This window comes from Homo sapiens, chromosome 2 (genome assembly GCF_000001405.40).
Source record: "Homo sapiens chromosome 2, GRCh38.p14 Primary Assembly".
NCBI classification, from domain to species: Eukaryota; Metazoa; Chordata; class Mammalia; order Primates; family Hominidae; genus Homo; species Homo sapiens.
Window position 1 is genome coordinate 152,657,836 of NC_000002.12, and position 15,035 is coordinate 152,672,870.

General features: G+C 35.8%; 1 protein-coding gene across 28 annotated transcripts in view, besides 1 other annotated feature; it reads right to left on the reverse strand.

The window, feature by feature from the left end:
* Positions 1 to 15,035, reverse strand: part of PRPF40A (pre-mRNA processing factor 40A) — a 66,288-nt gene that overhangs the window by 6,104 nt on the left and 45,149 nt on the right. For 16 of the 28 annotated variants that reach the window (NM_001395477.1, NM_001395479.1, NM_001395473.1 and 13 more), the window contains 13 exons: positions 14,624 to 14,788; positions 13,438 to 13,546; positions 12,396 to 12,546; positions 11,302 to 11,435; positions 6,303 to 6,417; positions 6,041 to 6,132; positions 5,820 to 5,936; positions 5,200 to 5,337; positions 4,768 to 4,863; positions 1,435 to 1,521; positions 1,258 to 1,354; positions 1,113 to 1,174; positions 54 to 185 (listed from right to left, as the gene is read on the reverse strand). In NM_001395477.1, coding sequence (NP_001382406.1) covers positions 54 to 185; positions 1,113 to 1,174; positions 1,258 to 1,354; positions 1,435 to 1,521; positions 4,768 to 4,863; positions 5,200 to 5,337; positions 5,820 to 5,936; positions 6,041 to 6,132; positions 6,303 to 6,417; positions 11,302 to 11,435; positions 12,396 to 12,546; positions 13,438 to 13,546; positions 14,624 to 14,788 — 1,495 coding nt within the window. Of the gene's footprint in view, positions 1 to 53; positions 186 to 1,112; positions 1,175 to 1,257; positions 1,355 to 1,434; positions 1,522 to 4,767; positions 4,864 to 5,199; positions 5,338 to 5,819; positions 5,937 to 6,040; positions 6,145 to 6,302; positions 6,418 to 11,301; positions 11,436 to 12,395; positions 12,547 to 13,437; positions 13,547 to 14,623; positions 14,789 to 15,035 lie in introns of all 28 variants that reach the window. The other 12 variants (NM_001395475.1, NM_001395476.1, NM_001395472.1 and 9 more) reach the window with 1 other exon arrangement.
* Positions 4,785 to 5,984: an enhancer, noted in NCBI's record as "CDK7 strongly-dependent group 2 enhancer chr2:153519134-153520333 (GRCh37/hg19 assembly coordinates)". NCBI's record gives its function as "activates an origin of replication core promoter dependent on BRD2, BRD4, P300/CBP, MED14 and CDK7 cofactors, with strong dependence on CDK7, by STARR-seq in HCT116 cells {active_cell/tissue: HCT116}" and the evidence as "EXISTENCE:reporter gene assay evidence [ECO:0000049][PMID:35650434]".

The window sequence follows — 15,035 nt, forward strand, 5'->3', positions numbered from 1 at the left end:
AATACATTTTTGCATTTTGAAAATACAGGCATGAAACAATTCTAAATACTTACAGAATCCTTTCCAGTCTTTTTCTTAGGCGATTTGTGTTTTGATTCTGATCTTTGTCTAGTTCTGTCTTTTTCACTTTCCCGATCTTTTTCTTTTTTATCCTTCTCTCGCTCAGCATCGGATTCTGGAGAGTCCTGTATGAATAGAAAATAACAGGTTAGCATTTTGATGAAGATACCATTGTTATATAGGTAATATTTAAGAACATCTATGTGTAACAGGTTATGTGCTCTTAGAGAGATGAAATAAAATGTGAATTGTTAACCTCAAGGATTTAGTAAAATTTACCCAAGATTCATGGGGACAGCTTTCCCTTGGGAAGGATAATATTCTGAAGGATAAAATACCACTCATGAGACTTACTACCACATAATAGATGTGTAGTATCTATTATGTAAATACAGACAGATACTACATTTCTCACCAACTCAATATAATATTGGTTTATATATGTACATAGTATACTGCTGTTAGCTTTAACACATAAGGCAGACAGCTGTATTAATAAAATTATTTTCTTGAAATTGCTGAGTAGGAATTATTTAAAATTTAACGTTAGTGCTTAAATGGTTATTCATTAGATATGCACAAATTCAAATAAAAAGAATGTAATTCAACAGGTCTGTGGTGATACCCAGGCCTTCAGATTTTCAAAAAGTTCCTTAGGTGGATCTTAATGTACACCTAAGAATAAGAACTGCAAGAGTAGAGTGGTTGTTTTAACATTTAAACTTGTGGTTCTCAACAACAGCTGCAATCTACACATACACACAAACATACATACATACACAGAGACACATGCACACACACGAGTCTCTTTCTAGAATATTAATTTTAAAGACCAGGATGGGGATCCTAACACTGGTGTGTGTATTTTTTCAAAGCTCAACAATTGATTTTAATGGAAGATTAAGGTGAAGAGCAACAACAAAACTCTAAGTTTATGTGCCCACCTGAACTGTCCTGGGCTGCAGAGAACTAGATAGAAAAAGGTTCTATGATCTCTGAGGAAGTTAAGGGCAAAAGCCTAGGTGAAACGTAAAAATTAGAAGCTTGCTTACAGATTTATGTCTCCTCTTCTTACTTTTCTTCTTATGCTTTTTTGACTTTTTATAACTTCTCTCTGAGTAGCACAAAAGGATAAAAAGTGTCAGACTTTGAGTATATCAGTGTCAATGATTTAATCAAATAAATAGAAATGCTCACCAGACTCTGCACTAGAAGAATGTTCTGAAGCAGAACGAGACTCTGATCGCTGTCTTTTTTTCTTTGAATGGCTATCATCATCATCTGAATCTGACCCCTAAAAAACACAAATAATTTCATTCATAATAATGCTAACACTTTAATACACTCATGACACCATATAATAAATTCCCTTACCGATCGAGAGCGGGAACGTTTCCTATGATGTTTTTTAGATTTCTTAGAATGTTTCTTGTTCTTTGAATGATGATGCTGACATTCATGCTACGGGGACAAAAAAAAAATTTCAAGAATTTACACTTACTGTAGACAGACTGTAAAGAATCTTTAAAAAGCTACGGAAGTAAGTTCTTAGAGTAAAACTCTACAATATATAGAAATGTAATCCCTTGAAACTGTGAAGAATTGTCAATTTTTTTTTCTTTTCCTTCTTGCCCATCCTATACCCACTCATTTAGACATCTAAACAAAACAATGTTAAAAACTGTTAGTAGAAAAAGTAGGGCTTTTTTTGTTTTTGTTTTTTTTTGAGACGAAGTCTCGCTCTGTCACCCTGGTTGGAGTGCAGTGGTGCGATTTTGGCTCAATGCAACCTCCGCTTCCCAGGTTCAAGCAATTCTCCTGCCTCAGCCTCCCAAGTAGCTGGGATTACAGGTGCACACCACCACGCCCAGCTAATTTTTGCATTTTTGGTAGAGGCAGGGTTTCACCGTGTTGGCCAGCCTGGTCTCAAACTCCTGACCTCAGGTGATCCACCCGCCTTGGCCTCTCAAAGTGCTGGGATTACAGCCATGAGCCACTGCACCCAGCTGAAAAAGTTTTTGTTTGTTTGTTTTTTTGAGATGGAGTCTCACTCTGTCACCCAGGCTGGAGTGCAGTGGCGTGATCTAAGCTCACTGCAAGCTCCGCCTCCCGGGTTCACGCCATTCTCCTGCCTCAGCCTCCCGAGTAGCTGGGACTACAGGCGCCTGCCACCATGCCCGGCTAATTTTTTGTATTTTTAGTAGAGATGGGGTTTCACCATGTTAGCCAGGATGGTCTCGATCTCCTGACCTTGTGATCCGCCCACCTCGGCCTCCCAAATGCTGGGATTACAGGCGTGAGCCACTGTGCCCAGCCTGAAAAAGTATTTTTTAAGGAAGAGAATGGTGTGATTTAGAAGAAAAGTGTAATATGCAGTGACATCTGCTTTTAATGACAGTCAAATACAATGACACTCAGACATGGTTTTTGTAATCAATCTGGCTTTGGTCAGCAAGTTAGGCCAAGCACTAAGATAAAGAACAACCTGAGAGCCATCCTTGAATTGAGATATATAAGGCTGATGTCAGAATAAATGCAAAATCTGCTACCCCTCTTTCATTTCCCCCAAGGAGCCATTTCCTTCCTCCTCAAACAAGACATTGTTAGACATCCATATGCTGTCTTTGTGGATTTCTACTTATTAAAACAATTACTAGGTTAGCAGTGATGGGGGGTGCTACAGTACAAGCTCCTTGCCCCTAAACATTTCTATGGCTTTGAGAATAAATTCTACCTCAGTTACAGAAGTGGAAATGGAAAATCTGGATCTCAGAATGGACTATTCTCCTTTTGATCTCACTGAATGCTAACCTACCTTTCTTTAATACCTCAAGCCTCAGATTATTAAGGCCCCAAAATCTGAATGTGTTCAGCCCTTCCCTATGGTACCATTTTTACTCCATTTACCACCTAACTACTTTACCCCCAGTATAGATCATGAAAGAATCTGTAGACTCTTGAACTGGGGGAAAATAGGTTAGTCACTATCTAGAGCAGAGCTTCTCAAAATTAAATGTATATTTTAATGCTTGGGAATCTGGTTAAAATGAAGTCAGACGCAGGATTTCTGCCCCATGGGGCCTAAGGTTCTGCATTCCTAAGAAGCTCCTAGGTAATGCAGATGCTTCTGGTATGCACTACATTTGGCACAGAAAAGATCTAGAGGCCCAGCATGGTTGCTCACACCTATAATCACAGTACTTCAGGAGGCCAAGGCAGGAGACTTGCTTGAGGTCAGCTTGCCCAACACAGCAAGATCCCATCTTTATAAAAACAAAAACCAAAAAAGCCCCACAAAAAGCCAAGTGTGATGGCACGTGCCTGCAGTTCCAGCTACTTAGGAGGATTGTTTGAATCCAACAGTTCAAGGTTGCAGTGACCCATAACTGCACCGCTGCACTCTGGCCTAGGAGTGGATGGATGACAGAGACCCCGCTTTAAAAAAAAAAAAAAAAAGGCCAACAGGACCACATCTAGAGGCAGCTGTGAAACAATACAGGGCCTTCGTGAGTACATGGTACAGAAAAAACTGTGGTTAACATTATATTAATCAAGAACAATAAATCAAGAAATAGGAAATAGTCAATTTAGTGACCTATGCCCATTTACAATGCAACACTGTAATATTAAGCACCTACTAGTTTTTAGCTTATAAAGTATTAGCTACTCTAAAACTGACAGCATGGCATACTTGTTAAAAGCACTGACCAAGGTCAACATGCCCGGCTTCCAACCCTGTAAGTCACTTTACTTCTCTCTGCCTTAGTTTGTTCACCTATTAACTTCACAGGCTTATTGAAAGGATTCAGTTCATAAATATAATATACATAAAGCAATTAGAACACTGGCCCACATAGGCATCGAATACTATTATTCAATAATTATTGGTCAATTCAGCATACTTACAAGGGCCTAACTGAAACTGTCATCAAAATACTTTTTTTTTTTTTTTTTTTTTGGGGAAGGAGTCCCGCTCTGTTGCCCAGGCTGGAGTGCAGTGGCATGATCTTGGCTCACTGCAACCTCCGCCTCCTGGGTTCAAGCAATTCTCTTGCCTCAGCCTCCTGAGTGGCTGGGATTACAGGTGCCCGCCACCACTCCCTGATAATTTTTTTGTATTTTTAGTAGAGACAGGATTTCGCCATGTTGGCCAGGCTGGTTTCAAACTCCTGACCTCAGGTGATCAGCACACACCTTGGCCTCCCAAAGTGCTTGTTTTACAGGCGTGAGCCACCGTGCCCAGTGAACCTTACCTATTAAAGTGACCTGAGATGTTATTGTTTCATTGCTTATTTTAACAAAAACTTACCATTTATTCCATTACTTTCCAGAAACTTTCTTTTCTACACAGCTAATGTGGTATAATACCTCAAATGTGCCTAAAAGCTGTCTTCTATCTGCTTTACAAGAAAAATTTCAAGTTTTCTTTATTAGTCAATCAATCCATGTGGCTGCCAAACTGCTCAATTTCTAAAACTTTCTAAAAATACAAAACAGTCTTCACATACAAATCTTTATATTCCCATGGAAACTTAATAGTTTCTTTTACTTAAAAGCAGTTTTTATAGGAAAAAAACCATTCTCTAACCATCCAGGTAAGTACATTTGTATAAAAGCAGTGAATATTAAGCAACATACTTTCATCATTCTAAGTTCTTCAATTTGTTTATATTTTATATATTTTGTATATGAGAATTCTAAAATTACCTCAAGCACATGCATAAAATCTTTAAATATTCGTTTTCTTTCAGATTCTAGAGTTATGTCCTCAAATGCTGGCTCTTTTACAAATCTCTCACGGATCTGAAAAATTCAGATACAAAATAAATATATGAATACCAAGAAAAGTACAACGATACATCTAAAATAAATCATAACAGCAAGTGAAAACTGTGATGAATCAGTCCCCTTAAAGTCCATTATTTCCTCCCTTCAAAAGTCCAAACCATTCTTTACAAATATTCCTAAACAGAGTCAACAGCTGATTTAATGCTTTTATTATATTCTAAATATATTTAATATATTCTACAAATAAATTTAGCTTATTTTTGTGGCTATAAAATGAAAAATAAAAATATTTTAAATTTCTCAACTGTAAAGAAAAGAATTCCATTAGAAAAAAATAACAAGTATACATACATCTTCCCAGACAGCATCCAATTCTATCGGAGGAGCAGCTTGTTTTAACATACTCTTAAATGCAGATTCTTTTCGTTTCATCTTCCGAGCCTCTTCTTTTTCTCTTTCACGTTCACGGGCTTCTGCCTTTTCTAGTAACTATTAAGAAAATCATATTTAATCAGTTATAATAGTATCATAACTATTAGCTGAAATAATTTATTGTTAATTTAGGAATCACGCATTGTTTAAAACGAGCTTGTCCAACCTGTGGCCCAGGACCGCTTTGAATGTGGCCCAACACAAATTTGTAAACTTTCTTAAAACACTATAAGGATTTTTTGCAATTTTTTTTTTAAGCTCATCAGCTATCGTTAGTGTACTTTATGTGTGGCCCAAGGCCTGATTTATAATGGCCATTTTATGTATAATACCAGTTAATTTGAGCAAAGGAAGTTTAATATCAATCCATCATCTAAATAAAGTTTTTTGTTTTACCTTACCTGAAAGACTGGCTACCACTCTGTAAAATTCTATTCATATTCCCTTATTCCAACACTCTGCAACTTAGCTGCTTTTATCTGAATAAATTAAAAACTATACTACTAAACTAGTTACTTACAACAGAAAACATAACTTACACTATTGAAAGCCAATTTGATATTTCCAGCATCTAATGTAGTTGATCTTTTAGTTGAACTGATTATCGCCACAAAATCTTCAAAAGTAGTGTTTACTTCAACTACAAATCCTTTATCCTAAAAAAAAGAAATCTTAACATTAATAATGCATAAATCAAAGGAATACAGTACTAACTTTTAAGATATACTATTGGTTAAAAGGTAAGAATAAATATATTTACCTTTAGAATGTCTTTTATTATCTTCTTCTCGTCATGATAACGTGCTTTAAGATCCTCAACATAAAACTTGAAAAGATCAAGTGCAGTTGATCCTAATGAAAAAACTAAAGAAGTCAAAAGCTAGCTCTAACCAAAGAGCTGCAATTACTTTGTTGTTTAAAAAACAAAAATAAAGCACCCTTTCCCCCAACACAATCACCTTTGCATTTGGCCCATTTCAACTACTACCATAACGGTAAATTAGGAAAGAAAATAATCTTACCAGGCTGACCAAGCATATTAGTGAATCTAATATCAGAACTAATAGTTGGATACAATTCCATCCAAGATGACATAGAATGCAGTTGTCCATGTTCATGTAATTCATCTAAAAATATCTAGGGAGAAAAATTATATTTGGAAAGTCATCTCGAGTACATGAGAAATAAGCGTCTAACATGAAAACACACAAAAACTTTGACATAGTTAAAACTCTTCTACCAATGTTATCCCAAACCTGTTTGGGCACAAAGAATATTTGCTATTTGGGCAAAGTAACAACTGCCTCTAGGCAAAAAAATATTTTGTCCTTTAGAGAAAATAACTTTTGAAACTGCACATTATCTTCCTAAGGTTCTATTTCCTACCCTTTAAGATAGAACCTAATTTTTAGCTTTAAAAAAAAAAAGGTAAAAGTTAACTTAAATTACTGGATATCTACCTCAAATGATGAGGCTAAAGAATGTATATGCATGTTTCCTTAAATATATACTTTCTGTCTTTAAAAATAGTGCCTAATGTGTTCTAGGTATTTTTATTTACTTTTAAAAAACAAGGGGCCTTAAGAGGAGGATGTATAATTTTCCCAAAGTAGTTTGGAGACCTAGGATTCAAACCCATATCTAGTTTCAATTTCCACACTTCCTGCTTCCAACCCAATCCTCAGGGAGTTTAATCCTATACACCAGGGGATCCCAACCCCCAGCCACGGAACCGGAACCAAGCCACACAGCAAGAAGTGAGTGGTGGAACAAGCATTACCGCCCCAGCTCCACCTCCTGTCAGATCAGTGGCGGCATCAGATTCTCATAGGACTGCAAACCGTATTGTGAACTGAGCATGCCAGGAATCTAGGTTGTGTGGTCCTTATGAGAATCTAATGCCTGATGATACCAACTCCCCACCCCACCCCACCAAGAAAAACTGTCTTCCACTAAACCGGTCCCTGGTGCCAAAAAGGTTGGGGACCGCTGCTATACACAAATGTGCCTAAAAGAAACTGTAACCCTATATTCTGTTCCCACAATTCCTATACCTGCACTGTTCAATAAGGTAGCCACTGACCAAACGTAGCTTCTCGGTACATGAAATGTAGCTAGTCTGAGTTGTGATGTGCTGTTAAGTACAAAATACACAATGATCTTGAAGATTTAATACCACAAATATTAGCAATTTTTAAAAATATTGATGTGTTAAAATAATATCTGGTTATATTGGGTTAAATTACTAAAATAAATAGGAAATTAAAATCGCATTTGTGGCATTCACATTTTTATTGGATAGAGCTGTCCCAAAGTAACATCAGGCACTTACAACTGCACTCACTCCTCTTCAAACAAGACTAAATATGTCCATACTCCCTTACAACTCGGAAATTCTTTTCTCAAACCCTGCCTGTATCTACCCTTCTGTCAACTACCCTTACCCTTCAACATAAATGGAATTTTGTCTTAACCACTCTTGTTGTGCTCACCAGCTTCCTCACTTGCTCCCTGAGTATCTAAAATAGTTTGGAAACCATCTTTAGTGATGCTCTAGTACCTTAGAACTTACCTCACTCTATCATACCTGTTTTGCTAGTGTTTCTTACACTTCCAGACTGGTGAGATCTGTCTGATAAAGTCAAAGAACTGTGAGACTGAAATTATTTCAATAGTGGATCCCTAACCTGAAAGAATCACCTGAGGAATATTTTTTTAAAGCAATATGAATTAATATCCAGATATTTGGAATATTAGATGACTGATGTGAATTCAGGTTTGAAAACCACTCTGACAAAACTGTATGGTTCTTATTCTATTTTACTTGCCCCATTTTAGGGGTGAAAAAGCCTTGCCTTTTACATTATGGAAAGCAAGTTGCTTCAAAGATGGCTGAGCTTGATGTTTCTTCTTCCCGTGGCACTAATGACATCTTGGATGACGTAATTTTTTTTTCTTTCTTTCTCTTGGTTGAGGGCGGGGTATGTTTGAGCCCTGTACATTGCAGGATGTTTATCAGCATCTCTCGCCTCTACACACTAGATGCCAGTAGCATGTTCCCCACAAATAGTGACAATCACAAAATCTTTCTTGGTTGAGCACCACTGTCTTAGATCCAAATCGGTATTAATTTTTCTCCATCTTCATCCTTCTTTTTGTTCTCTTATATACTGTTCTCAATGTAACTGTATTCATATATATGCTTGAATTCCCAACTTTCCGAGATGTTGTTTAATGAGACTCACCCTTATTTTTCAATTCTTCCTTCATTCTCTCCCTCTTAACTGGTTTCCTCTTACCCAAGAAAAGCCTTTCTCTTAACTGCAAGCTTATTTGAATTTTACCTTATTGAATATCTTTCAACTATTTGGCAGACCTTTAACTTTCCCTACCATGCCAATGGTCACTAAACACCTTAAATGCCACTCTTAACACCTTAAATGCCACCCTTAACAGTATTCTTTCAGTCCTCATTCCATAAAAATTTCTTAACATGTTACTTTAGGTGGATTCCTTTACCTCAGGGGTTTCTCAAAGACTCATTTGAAGGACTGTTTAAAAAAATCATATTGTTAGGTCCCATTTCCAGAATCTGATTCTGTAAGTCTGACGTGGAGTTTGAGAATATGCATTTTCATAATTTCCCAGGTGATACTGATTCTGTGCATTTGGGGATCATGCTCTATCTTAAAATTCCAAACTCTTGGCTTCTGAGACACTATACATTCCTCTGGTTCTCCTTGAAAGCCTCAGATCAATCCTTTCCAGACAAAACTGACTTCAAATACCAGTTTTAAGACATAAGAAAAACAAGATCATAGTTTCCTTGTCACAGACATGATGAATTTTCTGATTAGCAAATGAACACTAAATAAAAAGCTAGTCATCATCATAATCATAACTACTGAGAAGCTCTCCATTAATGATCTTTTATTGTCTAATGCCAATCTTCTCTTTTAATTCATTTCACTAAAGTCCTAAATAAATCTTTTGAAATAGCACAACAGGAAAATTACCAGGCTGAATATCTGAAAGAATATTAATACAACATACTTAACACCAATTATATTAGTAGTAATCAGAAACTATGCCAGACACATAGCAATCTGATTCAAAGCCACATTTAAGCTTATTTAAGGAACCGTAACAGCCTTCACATCAAAATTTTGCCTCACAGTCTCCATCTTCAATATTGTTTACATTATAGTCTCGTATTTTCTATGACCCAGACCTTATTTTCACTGTATTATTATTTTTTCATATATGTCTCCTTATTTTAAACCACTGCAAAACCTTCATCAGAGACATTAAAGCTTAAGTTGTGGAAGAGTGTATAATAGCCCTCCTAAGAATCTGTCCTCCCCTTCTTTCTGGGCACATGGCTGCTTAGCTAAAAGCTAAGTTTTCTAGCCTCCTTTGTGTAGCTAGTTGTGGCCCTGTGACTAAATTCTCAGCAACTGAACCCAAATGAAGGAGGTGAGCAGAACTTCTACATCATTAGCTTTAAGAAGAACTGTTCTTTCTACTTTTTCCAAGTTAAAATGTGAAATGGGGGCAGCATACCCCTAACTCTGCAGAGAAGGTTAACATGCTAGCGCACTGGTTCTCAAACTATGGTCCAACAGTATCAATATCACCTGGAAATTTAGAAATGAAATTTTCAGACTCCACCCCAGACTTACTAATTCAAATTCTTCAGGTAAGGCTAAACAATTTGTGTTTTTAACCGTTGTAGAACATGATCAAGTCTAGAAAGTCACTAAGATAAAGGAACCTATCAAGAGTAGTAAATGTTAAGTTTTCATTGAATAAGGACTGAAATCTTTCTACTGGCTGTGACGTTTAACACAGTAACCTTTGGCATAGCGCGAATAATTTTTTTTTTTGGAGACAGGATCTCGCTCTTTTGCACAGTCTAGAGTGCAGTGGCACCATCGCAGCTCACTGCAGCCTTGACCTCCTGGGCTCAGGTTCTCCCACCTCAGCCTCCTGAGTAGCTGGGACTACAGGCATGCACCACCACACCCGGCTAATTATTATTATTATTATTTTGTATTTTTAGTAGGGACCGGGTTTCATCGTGTTACCCAGGCTGGTCTTGAACTTCTGGACTCAAGCAGTTGCCAGCCTCAGCCTCTCAAAGTGCTGGGATTATGGGCATGAGCCACCGTGCCCGGCCAGAAGAAATTTTTTAAAAATCCTCCACTTCATTCTGATACACTGAATTTTGAGAACCACTGCCTTAAGGGATGGCAATATGCCCTGCCCTAGACCAAAAAGACTGTTACTTCAAGAAAAAAACTTATTTAAGCCATTGTAACCTAGCATTTATCCTAATACAATGGTTAATGGAAGAGACCCTGTAATCAAAACTGCATGGATTCAAATTCTGGCTTCACTATTCAGCAGCTGTTGAACTTGGGCAAGTCACTTCACCTCTCCATTTCCTTAGTTATATAAACTTATATAACAAAAACAGTAAGTACCCTTATAAGGTAAGACTGTCATAAAAATTGAGATTACAAATGTAAATTGTATTGACAGTAAGCAATCAAAGAATATTAGCTATTATAATTATTGAAATAGGTGAGATATGAAATGCAAAAAATTCATTGCTCCATGATATTTTCTATCACTGAAAATAAAAATGATACTTGAAGATGAAAACGAACTACTACCTAAAAAACATGCAATCCCAGGTCCTTTTCTTAGTGTTTAAGAAATTATGGCCCATCCCCAAACTATACCTTAGCAGTCCCTTTGTCCTCCAGAGACTAAATATCATCTACTACTGACTCACCACACATATCTTGTTTCCAGTCATCTCTCCTGTTGTTTTTCCCAACCGAAACCTCATTTACCAATGTTCATCTGAAGAACTTAAAGAGTTAAATGTGTATGAGTCCTCACAAAGCCTAAGTCTATGATCTGGGAACAGTTGTCTCAAAACTCTTTGTATCACTGTCAAAGTTCAGTAAATATAATATAAAACTAAGTTAAAAAGAGAGCTTTTTCTTTTACCTGGAAAGATTCCCTATTTTTTCGCTGTCGTCTCCTTTCTCTCAGCAAACTCTTCTGTTTTTCTTCTTCTTCCTCCTTTTCTAAAGCCCGAATGTGTTCTTCAAAGCAAATTAATGCATCTTCTTTGTCCATATCTAAAGTATTTGCCAGTTAAAATTTAGAGTGTCAAATGTCAACAAGTAAAGTAGTTTACTTGCATTAGCTCCCCCAAAATTTCAAAATCACCTGTCAAAAATACTTGTAGTTAGGCTAGGGTGTGGTGGCTCATGCCTGTAATCTCAACACTTTGGAAGGCTGAGGTGGGAGGATTGCTTGAGCCCAGGAGTTCAAGACTAGCCTGGGCAACACAGCAAGACCCCGTCTCTAAACAAACAAACAAACAAACAAACTTGTATTTAAACTCAAATATGATTTGTGATCATCTGCATAGGAAAGTTTTAAGGAAAATTTCACAAAGAACTCAATAAAAGACATTCTGAAACATGTCATAGGATAAAACAAAGGACGTGCATATGGCAAAACTAATGAAAAGTGTTATGATAAAATCTGTTTGCAATATCATAATTATTCCAGGAGCTTTTCAAAGTATAGAACTGTACACCCTATAAAAAAATCTACTGAAGCATGATTTTTAGAGGGGTAGCTGATAAAGCTATAATTTAAAAAGCAATTGGTTAACTCAGAAAGAGTACTTAGGGAAGCCTAATGTTAAGATAATTCTAATACATTTTTTTCTTTTTACAAAATCTATAATGTTATTACCTCAAGAAAACAACCTGAGTAAAATGCGGTAATTCATTTAGTTCTTACCAAGTTACATACAAACGGCTAAGCAGAATTTCAAATGTGACCTATAATTTAAATATTTCAAGGATTACCTGATAAAGCTACTTTAAATTTGAAAAAATATTTTGTCATGAATCACAAACTCAATCAGAAAGAAATATCCTATTTGGAAATAAATAAAACTCTTTTTCAGAAATAAACAACTGCATAAAATTCAATTAGTTATCTCATATAAAAAGTGAAAATAATTCTTTGCTGCTGGAGGACGCTGTTTAAAACTATTTCTCTTACTTAGCCATTATTCTTACTTTGTAACTCCTCATCTTCTGCAAAAGTTGGATTATCCATCAGATACTGCTGGGCTTCAGACCAAGTGGTAGAGTATGTTACATTAGCCATGTTGTCAAGTATGTTTTTTAAGGCTTCCCAATTTCTCTTTCGCAACTGCTTTGCTTGTTCCTATAGCAAAAGTATGAATATGTATGTTTCAAAGTTCCAAGAAATTAAGATATTTAAATTGCAATTAGTGACGGCTTCTTTATATTCTAACGGATGACCAAATTGCAAAGGTTAAGTCAAACTTCAAGTAAATTTCATTTACTTTAAATGGCCACACTGCTGACTTTGCTAATGCTCTTTCCTAAGCGCTTGGCTTTGGTACTTAGCTTCAAATTTTCCACCTCCTTCTAAAAGCCAGAATCTGGAAACCATGTTTTTGGCTTTTCCCCCATACGACATAAACCTTTCTACCACTATGTATTACAGACAGTCTGAAACTAAGGTTACTATGGACAAGTCGCATTGCAGGTAAATGCTAAAATCTTCAATGACCTTCAGCTATGTTTAAATTTGATAATACTTGCATCTGTATGTGTTCCTTGGAAACCAGATAACATAAAATATAATAGTGCACAATGAAAAAGAGACATGAGTAAAATAGGTATTTTAAAATGTTGTAAGTTTAGTAGAAACAACTGCATGTTGCTGTCATTCTTGTAACAATCATGCTGGTTATAAGCAAAAAAACCCAGCATTTTTAAACCTAATGAGCAAAAAAGGTATCTTTTCAAAGTGAGCATAAGATAGCCAACTAATGACAATACAAATAATTGAATGAGTACCCACTGAGTCTACATCAGTACTTAATATGCTACATGAACGATAAAGAAGATTATTACAGAAGCTATACATTCCATCATTAAATTTTACTTCCAATAAATAAATCTGCTATACCACATAAACTGGATAAACTAAGCCAGAAAAATGTACATATTATAAAACCAATCCTCATCCGAATGAGGAAACATCTTGTGTTATCTATAAATACCAATAACTAAGAATAAAGAATACCTTTTCTTTTTTTGAAAGAAAGAACAAAACATCTTCATAGATTTCAAGACGATCACGTTCTGATATTGCATTCCAAACTTCCATCTCTCCAAACATTTGCTCTGCTTTTCTGTTAAAAAAAAATTATACAATAAAAATTAATTTTAACCAATTTTTAAACTAAATTTAAAACTACAAAATGAATACTTCCTATTCAAAGTTCATAAATATATTAAAGACAAACTCCTGGATAATTATGAAAAAACAAAACAAAACAAAACAAACAAACAAAAAACACATGCCTCCCTCTCTCCTTAGAGATAGAGGGGATAATTCACATTAGGCACTGCTTATAGTCTAGACTATCTCTATATCTAAAGGCAGCTACACAGACTACCAAACTGCCTACAGAACTAAATTACAGACTTCTCTGGAATACTGAGGAGATCAAAGAAATACATACAGAAAATAGGCTTCATAACATATCAAAAATATTTTAATATTACCCACAATTTTACATAATAAAGCAATCTAAAATGAAGAATGCTACATAAAACAATTATTCAAAATGCTATGCCTACTTAATGAAAATAGCCTCTTTTTACTCCACAAATATCAATAATTTCAATGTTTTTAAGTAAAAGGCAATCAAATTTTCTTTTTCTTTTTTTTTTTTTTTTTGAGACAGGGTCTCGCTGTCACCCTGGAGTGCAGTGGTGCAATTATGGCTCACTGCAGCCTTGACATTCCCAGGCTCAAGTGATCTTTCCACCTCAGCCTCCCAAGGAGGTGGGACTACAGGCACGTGCCACCATGCTCGGCTAATTTTTGTATTTTTTTTTTTTCCCCTAGAGACAGGGTTTTGCCATGTTGCCAAGGCTGGTCTTGAACTCCTGGGCTCAAGCCATCTGCTTGCCTTGGCCTCCCAAACGGTAGGGATTATAGGTGTGAGCCACCACGTCTGGCCTCCAACTTGATTATTGAATACAGTCTTTCTCCCCTTCTTCCAGTCTCTCAAAAACTTATTAAGTCAACAAGTTAAATTCTACATTTAACTACAGATTTATTTTGTACCTCATCAAGTTTCCACATTCATAATCATCTAGTTTTATTTAATGAGCTCTGGATCAGCTACTGCACATGGCAGAAAAGTATGACACAAACAACAATGTAGTAAACATAGGCCATGTAACACTAAACATCTTACTTGTATCTGGTTGTAGAAGTCATTTTCTCATGATTTTCAAGAAAACGCTGAAAGGATTCCTTAGCCTCTTTGTACTTTGATCTTGCTTCTTCTTTTTCTTCTTTTTCTGTCTGGACTTTATAGGCATTAAAGGCTTGCTTTTTTTCACTTAACTTTGCCAAAGCACTAATATAAAAATACCATGTAAGAGTAAACACAGGCAAAAGAATCAAATATTAGTGGTTTGAAAAAAAAAATAAAACTGTTTACACATATAATTTAAAAATTTTCAAAAATTTATTACAAATGATTGTAGAAAGTAATTTCTACTTTTAAAATAATTATTATTTTATATGTAGCGGAGTACTCAAATTGTTTGATAAGCCTTTGACTTTTTGGTTATTAGACATAAAACAACTCTATACTTGGTATC